This window comes from Homo sapiens, chromosome 1, assembly GCF_000001405.40.
Source record: "Homo sapiens chromosome 1, GRCh38.p14 Primary Assembly".
NCBI lineage: Eukaryota > Metazoa > Chordata > Mammalia > Primates > Hominidae > Homo > Homo sapiens.
Genome location: NC_000001.11, coordinates 220770747 through 220785724, shown reverse-complemented (window position 1 = coordinate 220785724; position 14978 = coordinate 220770747). Strand labels below are relative to the sequence as shown.

The following is a 14978-nucleotide window of genomic DNA, read 5'->3' as shown; positions in this document are numbered from 1 at the left end:
AGGATTCTTGCTAAACTGGGCTCTGCAGGGAGTAGGGTGGCAAGGTCAAGGCCTCATGAAGAAAAGGGCACAGGAGAGTCCGAAGTTTGGTCAAGGAGAGTCTGTGTTATCCCCAGCTCAGCCATGGTCCCCTGAGCCAGGAGTGTACATTGCAAGACTCAGCCAGAATTGCCCATGCAGGGCAAGGGTGCATGGATGAGAAGCGGGAGTTCGCCAAGAGAAAAGAACAACACTCTTCCTCCAGCTGGCAACTCACTGCAGAGCAGTTCAGTGCTCAGGGAGGCTCTGTCTTTATTGGCCTGAACACTTATCTGTCCTGTTTTTCTGCTCTATTCTCTTCTCTTCCAACCCCAGGTCACACCTTGTCTGTAAAGGACACAGCTCAGCAGGAGGCACGACTTGATCCTCCTCGGAAAGGCAGTTCCGGGGCACCAAATGTGCGTTTCTGTTTATCTCCCTCCTGAATTCCTCTTTGAAAATTTAAGAGGAAAAAATGGCTTCCCTATTTTAATGGCTGACTTTGAAGTTCTGATTTTTCAATTTCATCACTTCCAGAATTTACCCAGGCCTACAGCTCACTTACCACTTTTACCTCACAGGGTGCGGGGAATGGTGGTGAATTTCAGTCCCAGAACCCAGCAAAGGAAAATGGAGGAGGAGGGAACAGCCACTCCTCACTGACCACTAGGAAGGCCCCTTGCGGACACTGGCCATCCTGCCACAGACAGGCCACCTGTGTGCCTGCAGCTCACAACGCCCTCGCCCCCTGCCAATGACAGAAGCCAGTGTTTGTGGAGTCAGATTGTATCTCTGGAGGCAATCAGAAAGGGTAAGGAAAAATAAATTGCAGTGACTCAAATTCTAATATAAAGAGAAAAACCCAGGAAGAAGACTCATAAATACCAAAGATAAAGCAGGATTGAGATTCACATTTATTATTTACAAAGAAACCATAAAATTGTAAGTAGGTGAATTCATCCACATACTATTTCAGTGAGTATTTTTGCTTAAGATCATACCAAAGTTGTTCGTTTCTTTGTTACGAAAAAATTATTTGCACTGAAAAAAATATGTTCATGCTGTCTTCCTTGCATTCCTACTCTCAAAATTCCATTCTCTTTTAAATGTCATCCTCTTCCTTATCTTACTTGGAATTCCAGGTGGTATATCTGGCAGTTACACACAAACAGATTACTTTTATGTGGCTTAGTAAAGGTGTAATAGAGTACTAAAACTAAGTCTATAAGAGAATTTCCATACTCAAGTACAGCCCAGATTCCATAATGCTAGAGTAAAAAGCACATGAGTGGAAAGTCAACAGGACTCAATGGCCACATAAAGACCAATATTAGGCATTTGTGAGTGTGGTAACATGCGTCCTGCACATCAGGACACAGTGATCTGTTGCTTCCCATTTCTCCCAAAACATAGACTGATAGGTAATAAAAGGCACACATTTTAAAAACATTTTTGCAGCTTTTTAGTTGATTCATTAAACTTGCTTTATTCATCAATATTAAAGTCAGGAAGTAAAAGTGTAATAGCCATGATAACATTCAAAATAGCATTTTTGATGATCTTAATTATTTTTAAAGCCTTCAGTACCTAAAATTTATATATATACTTTCATATTCCCCCCTCTAATACTTTCCTTGCATTAACCTGGAGCATACACAACTTTGAAAAGTCAAAAATCGAGATTGTTTTCCAGGGTAAAGATAGTTGAAGGCTGGATAATAAGGATTTGCTGATGTATCGTTGCTGCTGTTGTTAAGATCTCAGTCAATCCCTCCTGGTTGCTGAAGCCTGAATAAATAATAAGAATCTCTGGTTATTTGGTTGTTTATCCTACTGTTCATAAATAATTCAAACTCCCACAAAACAGTCACTTATTGAGGTTACACATATAAATGTATGGTGCAGTGCTGTGCAGAAAGCATGGCCCATTAGCTCTAACTCACATCAGCTCCCAGGCCCTACGTCAGCTGACCTATCTAAGCCTTTGTTTCTCATCCATAAAGTGCCTGTTATCATATCTATCTCACAGAGATCCTCTCACAGATAAAGATTACACAAGGCCTTCTGGGCAGCAGAGACAATTGGAAATTGAGGCTGAGTGAACCACAGATGTTTGTTGCCTCCATCCACTGCAAAACAGGATCTGATTGGATGAGTTTGTGACGGAGTGATATGGAAAACCCTCAATCGTTATGGTATCTCACAGCCATTGGGCTCCCTCAGATGCAGAGAACACATGAAAGCCCTTGGCTCACACAATGATCCAGGTCCAGTCAATCATGACTGGAACAGCAGGACACAGGATCAGTTTCACTCAAGCTAGATGGCTCAGGCTTGGGTCCACTCTCCCCAAATGGGGCTTTTAGAAATGCCAGGTACTTAGGAGCTTCACAGTTTCCCCTCTAGTATTAATACTTATTGTATTTCATCAAATCCAAGATATACCAATTGTAAGATGCACCATTATTATATGCATCACTGATAATTTTATGCATCACTGATATTTTTCAAAAGGCATCCTGAATGTTATAAGAAGCTGACTGATATCAGAGATGTTAGAATAGGATCTCAGAACGGATGAAATATGTTATGAAATATGGTTATGGTTATGCAAATACCTAGTCATAACAGTCATCAATAGAAGTGTAGCTCCTTTTTGCCCACCTCAAAGGCAAAGCCTGTGTCATCTTTATACCCACTATGGAACCTAAGACTGGATCATGATGGAATGATGGCAATAAAAAACATAACTGATATTTACTGAGCACTTTATTTGTGTTGCAGCGCAACTTTATATGAATTAATACTCAAGATAACTTTTATTGCTTGTTTTGGTAAGTACTATTATTCCCACTTTGCAGATAAGGGTACTGAGACTTAAAGAGAAGTTAAACATCTCAACCAAGTTAGGAAGATGCTTGGATTACAAACCCAAGTCTATCTAATGCTAGATCTACACCTTCTAAGCCACTGTGTTACACTGTCCTTAAGGAGGGTCAGGTTGTGGGTGTCAAGACTACAAAGGCAAGTAACACACGTGAGAAGCTCAGGCCAGAATCAGAGAGAAGGATGGTCAAGAGTTTTGGAGATGAGGTAACTTAAAGAACTGGGTCATGGATTTTATGAGAAAACTTGCTTAAAATCTCCAATTTGAGGTCCTCTGTCCAACTTTCTCATTCCTTTAATTTGGGAGTTAGGCTTTTGCCTCCAGGAGTGAGGGCTGTATTGGACACAATGAAATCAATGTGAGAACATTATTTTCTAACTCATGATTCAGGACCCAGTCACCATGATGCACTGATTTTTTTTCAAACTTCAATTATACTTTAAAAATACATTTGATAAAAGACATTCAATTTAAACATTTCCCAAGCTGATGTTGAATAATTTAAACATTTTCCCTTCTATCTGAGACAGAAAAAATAAATACATAACTCTGAGAATGTACATAACTCTGAGAATCAATCACCTTCATTTCCCTATTCCTTAATGATATTCTGTAATGAGCTGTGAACATATACCTGTCTTTCTGCTGAGCCTCTTCCATCAGCATTTTACCATTAAATGGGAAATAGGGGTGGAGAAGGCTGAGGTAGGAGTACACAAATTACTGCAGGGAACAGAAATTAAGGGCATTTTCCAACTCCAAAGATCAGAATATAAAACTGTTCATTCTCTCAAGAATTAAAGCAGCATAACATAAAAAAAATTAACACAAGAAAATGCAGCAATGGCTTCAAGACAGCGTATTCAGAAGCAAAGCTGACCCTTTACCATATCACCCTAGTGGATCCATCACTCATCACTACACCATCCGATACACAGGGTCACCAACTCTCAGGCTTCCAATTTTTTCCACTGAATAATAGATCCCAAAAAGTGGAGACAACTTGTACAATTCCCTCTCAGAAGGATCACACAGGCGGTAGCTGAAACAAGCAAAAATTCAATCATCAGACACAAAAAGGAAATAATAATCGAAGTATTCTCAATAGAACTCAAGTTTGCCTTCCAAGTTATTTATAAATACACAGCAAGAATTTTCTAAAATGTTGCGAGAGAAGTCTGTGGACAATTAGTCAAACTGCAAATAATTCTAGTTTTTCTAGAAGTATCCTGAAAGTCTACGCAATTTCTCCATGGCTTCAGTTTAAGTCCAAAAAGAAAAAAACTTATGTGTAAGTATAAAATAAATACTTTGTCTATATGGGTACCTTCAACTTCACAACTCATTGAAACAAATGCCCCTAAAACTCAAAATGGAATGGCCCTGAACTCTACAAATCTTCTGTTTAGTGCATTTAAGCACCATGCTTTCAACCCCCTCCAGGTTTATGAGCCCAAAGCTGGGGTTCACTGGTGAACAAAAATTCAGACAGACATGAAGTTGGCAGATGGGTCTGGACTACTGCAGATGTTAATCTTTTTCCAGTGTCCTGTCTAAAGAAAACAATAACTTTCACAGCATCTTAAATAATTATCACTACATCTTAAAAATCAAAAACAAAATAGAATTGTAAATCTGAAGTCATCATGAAATAACCTCTTTTCTAAGCTAAACCCATTGGAAACAATCCACAAAACAGAGGAAAGAGAAACAAAATAGAATACAGCTCCAAAGAATGTTAAGCCTAAATCACTATCTTCGTTGGGAACTAAAGTCAGCCAAACTTCTTTAAATAACAAAACAAAAGAGAAATCCTTAGCATAAAAGAAGCTCCTTGGTAAAAAAGCTCTGACAACTCATTACATTCATTTTTTTCTAATATTTCATTATGCAGTTTCAATTATTCTCATATTCCTTGATATTGATTCTAATAAAGGAATTTGAGTTGCAATAAACATGATTAAATAAAGTGTTTAAGGCCTACATTTGGAAAGACATATATAAATAGTATTAAAAATTGATATGAGAGATACTAAAATTTCAAAATGTAGTATTATAGAATTAAAAGTTTATCAAAGCTGGGTATGGTGGCTCATGCCTGTAATCCCAGCATGTTGGGAGGCAGGCGAATCACTGAGGCAAGGAGTTTGAGACCAGCCTGGCCAACATGGTGAAACCCTGTCTCTGCTAAAAATAACAATAATCACCCAGGCATGGTGGCACACACCTGTAGTCCCAGCTACTCAGGAGGCTGAGGCAGGATCACTTGAACCCAGAAAGTGGAGGTTGCAGTGAGCTAAGATCACGCCACTGCACTCCAGCCTGGGGGACAGAGTGAGGCTCCTCTCAAAAAAAAAAAAAAAAAAGTTTATCCAAAGCACTAGAGGATCCATCCAGAAAAAGAGAGGAAGCAACAGTGCTCTCATTAACCAATAGACGCGAATCAGTCAGAAGGTAGACTGGAAGGTTCTCCGGAGAGAAAGGTCATATCTTCCCTAAAGCAGACATAGCACCTAAACCCATAGGTAGTTCTGGGGTGGAGATAATATTTAAAATACACTGGCTGTGGTGGTATTCTACCTCTTCAGGGTGTCCAGTGGCTGTTTCCTGTCTATGACTCCAGTGTCTGGGTCCACCGTTGTCAAAATACACCTGTTATGCAGTAACCAAGGGTTAGGTGATGCTTAGGAACCAATGAATGGGCCACACCACAGTCCTGGGGTCTAGCTAGGCTCCTTACCTGGGGCATGCCATTACCTTTTTCACTTCTACACTACCAATTAGGAGTTCATCCCAGGTATCCTAAGAGAAAAGAGAAAGTTATCTTTTAAATGGTGGCTTCATTAGCCTTTGAGTCTGTTTATTCTTTGGCTCATATTAAGTATGAAACTATTATAGCAGAAGAAAGCAGCACAAGGTGACACCAAGAAATATCTCCCAGAGGACTCAAAGGGAGGCAGAATGCTGGCAAGTTCAGGTCCACCTCTTGACTCCCAGTCTCAAAACCCTGATTCCATCATCGCAGGGATGACAGATCTTCTATAGAGTGCAGTTTGCCATGAGAGTCATAAATTAACAGGAAAGTCAATGTGTAGATATACAATGAGAAATGTGTAACTTGCAAGACAAACCCACACTTCCCTTGTAGCTAAGCTGCAGTGGAACCCAAGTTACAATCTGAAGGTTCTTTGAAGAGTGGGGACATCACCCAAGAGAAGGCAGTCATGATTCACACATTCATTGCTGCCACCTTCACAGACAGGCAGCCTGCTAATGGGGTCCTGATCCCACTGCCACTGACTGTGCCTTGCCTTCCCACCCTTGAACGTGGGAACCACTAACACTTGCCTCAGGGATTAACTCAATCCTCACAACTTTGAGGGAGGCGCTATCATGAGCCCCATTTTACCCAAAGAAATGGAGGACTAGAGAGATACAAAATTGTCTCAAGGTCACACTGGAGGATGTAAAGCAGCTGGGTTTGAAATCTTACTGATTCTGAAGGTAGGACTTTGAACTACCCAGCTTTTAACCATATATATGTTTATATGTGCACACACACATATACAGAAACATATATGAGGAATATAGAGATTGTATTATATATATAATATGATTTGTTTTTATACACACACACATACATATACATATATAAGGTGGTTATATGGATTATATTGTAGGGAGGCAAAAATCACCTCTACCCTCTTAGGGTTTTTTGGCTGGGCCTAGTAATTAAATTGACGTAAGATAGATCAACAGGAGAAATGCATACATATTTATTTAATATAACTTTTACGTGGCACTGGAACCTTCATGACAAAATGAAGATGCAATTAGAGTTGAACACTTACATTATATGCAGAATTGGGCAAAGATGTGGCAGGACTAGGGTACTTAACTAGGTAGAGAGGGACAGGGAAGATGAGGATTGGCTTGACAGGGTTTGTACAGATTTCCCTCAGCCTCAACTTTTTGTCCTTGATGATAAGCATGACACTTTCCTTCTGGTATTGGGAGACATCTTTTACACAGGAATTTCATCTCCTGCTTTTAAGAAACGGAAGGGCAGAGTGATCTTCTTGCACCTCTGTTTTTCAAGTGTTCTTAACTCAAAAAAGTCAACATGCTGGAGCGGCATATTTTGGGTTCATGTGATCTTAACTCCTTCAATATTACATATACACGTATAACATGATATGGTTTGGATCTGTGTCCCCACCAAATCTCATATCGGATTGTCATCCCTACTGTTGGAGGTGGGACCTGGCGGGACAGAATTCAATCATGGGGGTGGATCTTTCATGAATGGTTTAGCACCACCACCTTGGTGCTGTTCTCATGATAGTGGGTGAGTTCTTGCGAGATCCGGTTGCTTAAAAGTGTCTGGCACTTCCCCTTCGCTCTCTTGCTTCCGCTTCTGCCATGTAGGAAGCTGGACCCCCTTTGCCTTCCACCATGATTGGAAGCTTCGGGAGGCCTCCCCAGAAGCAGAAGCCGCTATGCATCCTGTACAGACTGCAGAACCATGAACCGCTTTTCTTTCTTTCTTTCTTTTTTTTTTTTTTTTTTTTTGAGACAGAGTCTCACTCTGTTGCCCAAGCTAGAATGCAGTGGCGCAATCTCGGCTCACTGCAGCCGCAATCTCCGCCTCCCAGATTCAAGCAATTCTCATGCCTCAGCCTCCTGAGTAGCTGAGATGACAGGCAGTGCCACCATGCCCGGTTAATTTTTGTATTTTTAGTACTGATGGGGTTTCGCCATGTTGGCCAGGCTGGTCTTGAACTCCTAACCTCAGGTGATCCGCTCAACTCAGCCTCCCAAACTGCTGGGATTTCAGGGTGTAAGCCACCGCACCCAGCCTAAACCTCTTTTCTTTATAAATTATCCAGTCTCAGGTATTTCTTTATTGCAATGTGAGAACAGACCAATACATATATCCAGACAGATTACAACTTTTTGACTTTATGATGCATTTATTGGGAGGTAACCCCATGGTAAGTCAAGAAGCATCTGCACACGGGAGGGGATGTATGTAGAGCTATATAAAGGTTGCAGGCCCCTCCGTGAATAGGGAGGCCATCTGTATTCTTTATCTTTAAGGCACCATGCCTGTCTCTGCTGCTACCTACTGATTTAAGGTTTGAATTTCACAGGGCAATCCTCTGTCCAGGTCTCAAGGTAGGAGGCATTGGGGTACGGGGCCTCACTACTGCCTCCATAAATCAACAACATAGACTGTGAGTCTAAGGAATTCGGAGAAACAATCGTCTTGACTTAGGAACTAAAGAAACCTATTCCTACTCCCCTGGCTGCTTCGCTTGGGCAGGAGGCATAAGAGGTCTGAAGTCTCTGCAGGAGGCAGAGCAGGGCAGGGGGTAGGGACTAGCCCCATAACTTTTCTCCCTCTGCCGCTGATGACCAGGCCATGTCTGGTCCTCCTTCAGTGGCAAGCCAGCCCCTCCAACCCCCTCCCGGGCCTATAGTGGTGCTTCAGCAAATGCAAATGATTCTCCAGTACCTAACCGGGTCTTCAAAACTCAGAAATCTCCTACAGGGCATGACCACAGCTAGAGACTAAAGTAAGGAGGTCTCCATGGATGCACTGGGTTCTAAACCATCCTTTAGGAAACTGCTGCTTTGTGGAAATAAACGCCACGGTCCAACCAACCAGTTGAGGATAACTGCGTGTACACAACATGTGTAAGGAATGGAATCGCCATGTCCTACTCAGGACTTATTACAAGCACTCCTAGCCAGTAACTTATTGCGAAGAACTACAAGACAACCACAGCGGGTGGCTAACCTCCTGGTAGATCGTGACCTCCGATGGGGTGTGACCCAGGAAGGCAGCTACTGTACTGGGAAGTAAGGATCAATGGGTACCCTGGCCTGAGATGCAGCCAGGAAGGCTGGGCACCTACCACACGAGGGCGCTGCGGACCCAGGAATGGAAGCCGACCCAGCCGCGCTGTGCTGAATGGACCCTGGCTCTCCAAGTATCTTCCGTTCAATTTTTTGTGTGTGAGAGCTAAAGAATTTAAGATTTCCAAGACACATAACGGTGGCAATTCTGCGTCGTTATTATGACAGAAGGCAGGGAGTCTGACAAATTCAGTTAGTCATCTATTCTCACTGTTAGACAACCGCAAGGCCGCGTTTAAAAGAGCAAATTGTCTGGATTCGTAAGAATCGTCCGCAACACCCCCAAATGCCGGCTCTAGTTACTTCCTAAAATATTAATCACCACCTATAATCATATATATTCTCAACCTAATCTGATCATTGTCAGCATTTTGGTGTAAAGCATTATTTGCAGTAAAAAAAATACTATGCTAATTAAGTTTAAATGCAATTATTAATTCAGTTATTTAAAATAATAAATTATATACTATTAAAATAAATTTAATAATGCATGAAATTAAAATTTCCATTACATTCTACTAGACATACAAAGAGTGAAATACGCTATTCAGCAAGTTCCAGTGTCTTCTCAAAGGAAGACATACACGCGACCAACAAGCACATGAAAAAATCCTCAATATCACTGATCACTAGGGAAATGCAAATCGAAACCACAATGAACTACCATCTCACACCAATCAGAATGGCTATCACTAAAAAGTCAAAAAATAACAGGTGGCGAGGCTGTGGAGAAAAGGGAATGTTTATATACTGTTGGTAGGAATGTAAATTGGTTCAACCACCATGGAAAGCGATCTGTAGATTTCTCAAAGAACTTAAAATAGAACCATCATTCAACCTAGCAATCCCATTACTGGGTATATACCCAAAGGAATATAAATCATTCTACCACAAAGACACATGCACGCGTATATTCATCACAGCACTGTTCACAACAGCAAAGACATGGAATCAACCTAGATGCCTATCAACAGTGGACTGGATAAAGAAAATGTGGTATACATACACCATGGAATACTATGCAGCCATAAAAAAACACAGATTATGTCCTTTGCAGCAACATAGATAGAGCTGGAGGCCATTATTCTGAAAGAATTACTGCAGGAACAGAAAACCAAATACAACATGTTCTAATGTATAAGTAGAGGCTAAATGTTGAATACACATGGATACAAAGAAAGGAACAACAGACACGGGAGCCTACTTGAGGGTGGAGAGTAGGAAGAGGGTGAGAATTGAAACACTATAGGGTACTATGCTTATTACCTGCCTGACAAAATAATCTGTACACCAAACCCTCAGCAACACACAATTTACCTATATAAAAAACCTGCACCTGTACCCCTGCACCTAAAATAAAAGTTGGAAAGATAAAAATAAATAAGTAAATAGGTAGAGAAAAAGATTCCGGGGTCTTCCCTAAACACAAAATCAGCTCGAGACGCTTAGTGCGCCCCCTGCTGGTAATCAACCTTTCCGCAGTCTGCCGAAATCCAGGCCCCAATGACATTTACTTAGAGTGATGGGATAAAACTATGGAGTTTTCAAGATGAAAGAAGCAAGGTAAGGAAGAGGAAAAGGCAAGGAGAAAGGGGAGTACTATACATAAGGGTTCAGCTCTGAGGAAATAATCCTGAGGATTTGCTATGAATGAACGTGTGCACATCTTGTAAATACTAAATTAGGACTAGAGGGTTTTCCATCACAAGCAGCACCCAGAGAGAGAAGTGAAATAAGGGTGGGGCGGGTGGGTGTTGTGGAACACACAACTGAGGGTGTTTGTCTGTTTGAAACCTTCATAGATCCATGTAGGCATTTGCCAAGCAAAAAAATTGGATGTATGAAACTTAAAAGTTGACTACTAATGGAGAGTCTCCCTCCCTTTTTTCCTGTCTCTCTCTCCGTAGATGCATACGAATGTGTGTACACACACACACACACACGCACACACACGGGTCTATATAGACACACAATTGCATGGCTATATCCACACAGACAGAGGAAGTAGATACAGATGTGAAGAATATATATCTCTACCTATATAGTCCATCTCTCTATGTATAGCCAGAGAGAGTGCACAGTCAGGTGAGAATGGAGGCCAAGGTGAGTTCTTAAATACCAGCTGACCACAGAAGTATAAGACCGCTGAGAGTGAGGTGGAAAGAGCCTGCATGGCCTGCCGTGGCAATGGGCTATGAAAGACATCACTTGTAAGACCACAGATCAGAGCAGCAGTTCAAATTAGATCCAGGCCACCAAGCCTTTGGGATTCTGTTCCTTGAGCCTCCTGCCACCACCATCCCAGCCCCTTCATCTGCTTAATCTCTGTCGCAGGACTGGCGCCTCACTTTCACTGCTCCTGGTTTTCTACTCATGTGTTTATAATATTGTGTTGTACGCACAATTGTTAGAAACAACTTTAAACTATTTTGTGATAAGTCGAGGGAATATGTAAATAAGACTATTCTGTTTCTAAATCCATAGCAATTTTTCTGACTTGATATCAATGACTCTACATGATTATAGAAAGCTCCAAGTCACCTCCTGGAGACTGGCTAAATATACATGGGACATATGTGCAATAATCATTATTCGGGTATTAAAAAAGGGTGCTCCCAGTCTAGACAACATGATATAACCTCGTGTCTCCCAAAATTACAAAAATTAGCCAGGTGTGGTGGTGTGTGCCTGTGGTCCTAACTACTCAGGAGACTTGAGGCAGGAGGATGGCTTCAGCCCGGGAGGCAGAGGTTGCAGTGAGCCGAGATCACGTCACCGCACTCCAGCATGGGCGACAGGGTGAGACCCTGTCTGAAAAAAAAAAAACGAGGATGTGAGTCTATATCTATTAACACTGAACACTTTTCAAGGTGTTGCTGAGTGAAAAAAACACAAGGCACATTTTATATGTGTGTGTGTGTGTGTGTGTGTGTTTATATATAATAGAGGATGATTCCATGTACATAAAAAATCTGTATACATAGCTATGTGTATACATTTATAGCAATAAATCTGGAAGGCTCCTCACCAAGATTTAAACATTATTTGTTTTTCATAATAAATCTTAATTTTTTTCTTTTGCCTTTTTTGCTTTATTTTTTATAAGAGGTATAATCCCAACAGCACATCTTAAAAATAATTTTTGTCTAGATAGTTCATTAGATTCTCTGTGACATCAAATACATGATGTCTTTTCCAACACCATTTCTGCAATTCTCTGACACCAATTGGGTGTCCAACAATTCAACTCAATTCTGACACTCACTACTAGAAGCAAGTAGAGATCCCTTAGGTAAGGGCTCAGTCCTACAAGACTGCCCCCCATCCCAGATGCCAGCCAAGTCCAGGCCACCCATGCTTCTCACCAACTGGCTATAAATTGAGGGTACCCACAATCCCCTCCTAAGGTTTGACAAGTTTCTAGAATGACTCCCAGAACTCAAAAAAGGCTTTACTGTTGTTCCTGACTTATTATAAAGGACGCAAGTCAGGAACAGCCCAATGGAAATGCTGTCTAGGGCAAGGGATGGGGATGGAGGCTCTCCGAGTTTTCATGCCCTCTCCGGGTGCACCACCCTCCCAGAACTTCAATGTGTTCTCCAACTCAGAAGCTCTCCAAACCCCATCTTTCAGGGGTTTTTTGGAGGTTTCATTTCATGTAAATGATTGATAAAATCATTGGCCATTGGTGACTGAACTCAACCTCCAGCCCCTCTCCCTTCCCCTGAGATCAGGGCTGGGTGGGGCTGAAAGTCCCAACCCTCTAATCATGGCTTAGTCTTTCTAAGAACCAGCTCACATACCAAAGCTGTCTAGGGACACCCCTCTTTCCCCAAGAGTCATCTCACTAGCATAAAGTCAGGTATGATTGAAAGGGGCTTGCTATGAATGACAAAAGAAACTCCTCTTACCCCGTCACTCGGGAAATTCCAAGGGCTTAGGAGCTTGTGCCAGGAACCAGAGACGAAGCCCAAATATATATTTCCCATTATACCAGAGTTAAATGATCTCAAACCGAAAGTTATTTTTTCTATTCTTAAGACATACAAGCTAATGAATATTCCTTAATGTCATATTTCAAAATCTAATCACTCTTCTTATAAAGAAAGACCATGCCATGGTTCCCGCAATTGGATCCAGTTCATATCAAGCAAGTCTTCAGCATCCACTGCCCCCAAACACACACACACACACACAAACACACACACACACACCCTGCCCAGAGTGCCTCTTTCTCACTGGGATCCTTCAAGTCTGATGTCCTGACTTCAGCTGCAGCCCTCTACCTACTGTAGCCTTGATCCCACTTGGCCCTGAGACCCTTGCAGGCAGACACAGTGAGGTCATCTCTGTAATCTTAGCATCTATCTCAGAGACTAGCACTAGGAAACCCTCAAACATTTGCTGCAAATATGAATATTTTAGAATTTGGGGACTAAGACAGGATGCCATACACTAAGAATTACCAACTTACATAGGACATTACTTTTCACTTACTAAATTAGTAAAAATTATAGCAATGCCAGGAAGAGCACAATGAAAAGGGCACGCTTATGCTCACCTTGAGGGAATATAAATTGGTATAAGGTTTCTGGAAAGCAATTTGGCAATATATACAGAGAGCCTTTAAAATGCTGCATTAGCATTTCCTAAGAATACTTTTGGAAATGTAGATACCCACCATTTTACAAAGCTGCTCATTATTTATGTGAGAGAAAATGGAAAACAACCTAAATGCTCAATCATAAGGGAATGGCTAAACAAGTTATTGCAGAGTCACAGGATGGACTAACATGGAACCACTGGAACCACGCAAATGAAGGATTTGCAAAGACAGAGCTGGTTGCCATGTGCCATTAAATGAAAATGGTGGAATTTAATACTATTTCTACAATATTGTATAAACCATACTGGAAACACAACAAAATGTTATCACAGGCTACCTTTTAATAGTATGATGATGAAGAATTTTTTTTAATTTTACTTTAAGTTCTGGGATACATGTGCAGAATGTGCAGGTTTGTTACATAGGTGTACCTGTGCCATGGTGGTTTGCTGCACCTGTTAACCCATCATCTAGGTTTTAAGCCCCACGTGCATTAGGTATTTGTCCTAATACTCTCCCACCCCTTGTCCCCCACCCCCCGAGAGGCCCTGGTGGGCGCTGTTACCCAATGAGGAATTTTTATGCGTTTCTTTAATCTATACTGTGTTTTTCAAGCTGTGCAAAGAGTATGAGTTACTTTTTAAAATATCCTTTATAATCAGAAAAAAATTAACTATCTGAAAAGCTTCTTGAAATTAATCACTAAAATGTTTTCCACAGCCCTGGTTCCAGACTCCCTGGGCTTTCTCATGACCCCATGTTTGAACGGCACTGTGTGGAGACCCAGTGTGCTTTATCCTTCAAGGATAAGTATCCTCACATTACACAATATCTGGTGTATGCTCCTACGGAATCGCATGAGACACATTTCTGTAAACCTTAATGCATATTAAATGTGCCTGGAGGCATCTGTTGTTTGGGACACTTGGACCTGGAAAATCCTAGCAGAAGAGAAAGACAGAAGCCTAAGGCTTTTTTTTTTTTTTTTTTTTTTTGAGACAGTCTCACTCTGTCACCAAGGCTGAAGTGCAGTGGCACGATCTTGGCTCACTGCAACCTCTGCCTCCAAGGTTCAAGCAATTCTCCTGCCTCAGCCTCCCAAGTAGCTGGGATTACAGGCATCCACCACCATGCCTAGCTAATTTTCGTATTTTTAATAGAGATGGGGTTTCACCATAGTGGTCAGGCTGGTCTGAAACTCCTGACCTCAGGTGATCCGACTGGCTCGGCCTCCCAAAGTGCTGGGATTACAGGCGTGAGCCACGGAGCCTGGACTGCCTAAGGCTTTTTTAGAAGCTGGCTTCTGTTCTCTGGAGACCACCTACTCTTAGAAACACCAGCAACAGGCTACAAAAAGGGAAGCAGAGCTCTTGAGATGTGGCCATGTTGCTCTGAAGTGTATTCACTGACTGGGACATCCTGCAGGCTGACGCCGTCTGTGTGTTCCACCCACATACCAGTTTCCTCTCAGGGGAGGTTACGGCCACGAGAATTTTAGTGCCTGATGAACATAAGACATTCTAGTCTCCCACTCTGGGCTTGGCT

General features: G+C 41.7%; 1 protein-coding gene across 6 annotated transcripts in view, besides 1 other annotated feature; it reads right to left on the bottom strand.

Annotated features, from left to right (window-relative positions):
- Nucleotides 1-909: 909 nt before the first annotated feature.
- MTARC2 (mitochondrial amidoxime reducing component 2) overlaps nucleotides 910-14978 on the bottom strand; it is a 36494-nt gene continuing 22425 nt past the window's right edge. For 2 of the 6 annotated variants that reach the window (XM_011509684.2, XM_047423617.1), the window contains 3 exons: nucleotides 5646-5707; nucleotides 5486-5557; nucleotides 3793-3947 (listed from right to left, as the gene is read on the bottom strand). In XM_011509684.2, the coding sequence (XP_011507986.1) occupies nucleotides 3824-3947; nucleotides 5486-5557; nucleotides 5646-5707 (258 nt within the window). In that variant the 3' untranslated portion in view covers nucleotides 3793-3823. Of the gene's footprint in view, nucleotides 1807-3785; nucleotides 3948-5485; nucleotides 5558-5645; nucleotides 5708-14978 lie in introns of those variants that run through there. The other 4 variants (NM_001317338.2, NM_017898.5, NM_001331042.2 and 1 more) reach the window with 4 other exon arrangements.
- Nucleotides 10212-10366: a silencer, noted in NCBI's record as "fragment chr1:220948701-220948855 (GRCh37/hg19 assembly coordinates)". NCBI's record gives its function as "represses an EF-1alpha promoter that drives an FKBP-Casp9 reporter gene in an ReSE screen in HepG2 liver carcinoma cells {active_cell/tissue: HepG2}" and the evidence as "EXISTENCE:reporter gene assay evidence [ECO:0000049][PMID:32094911]".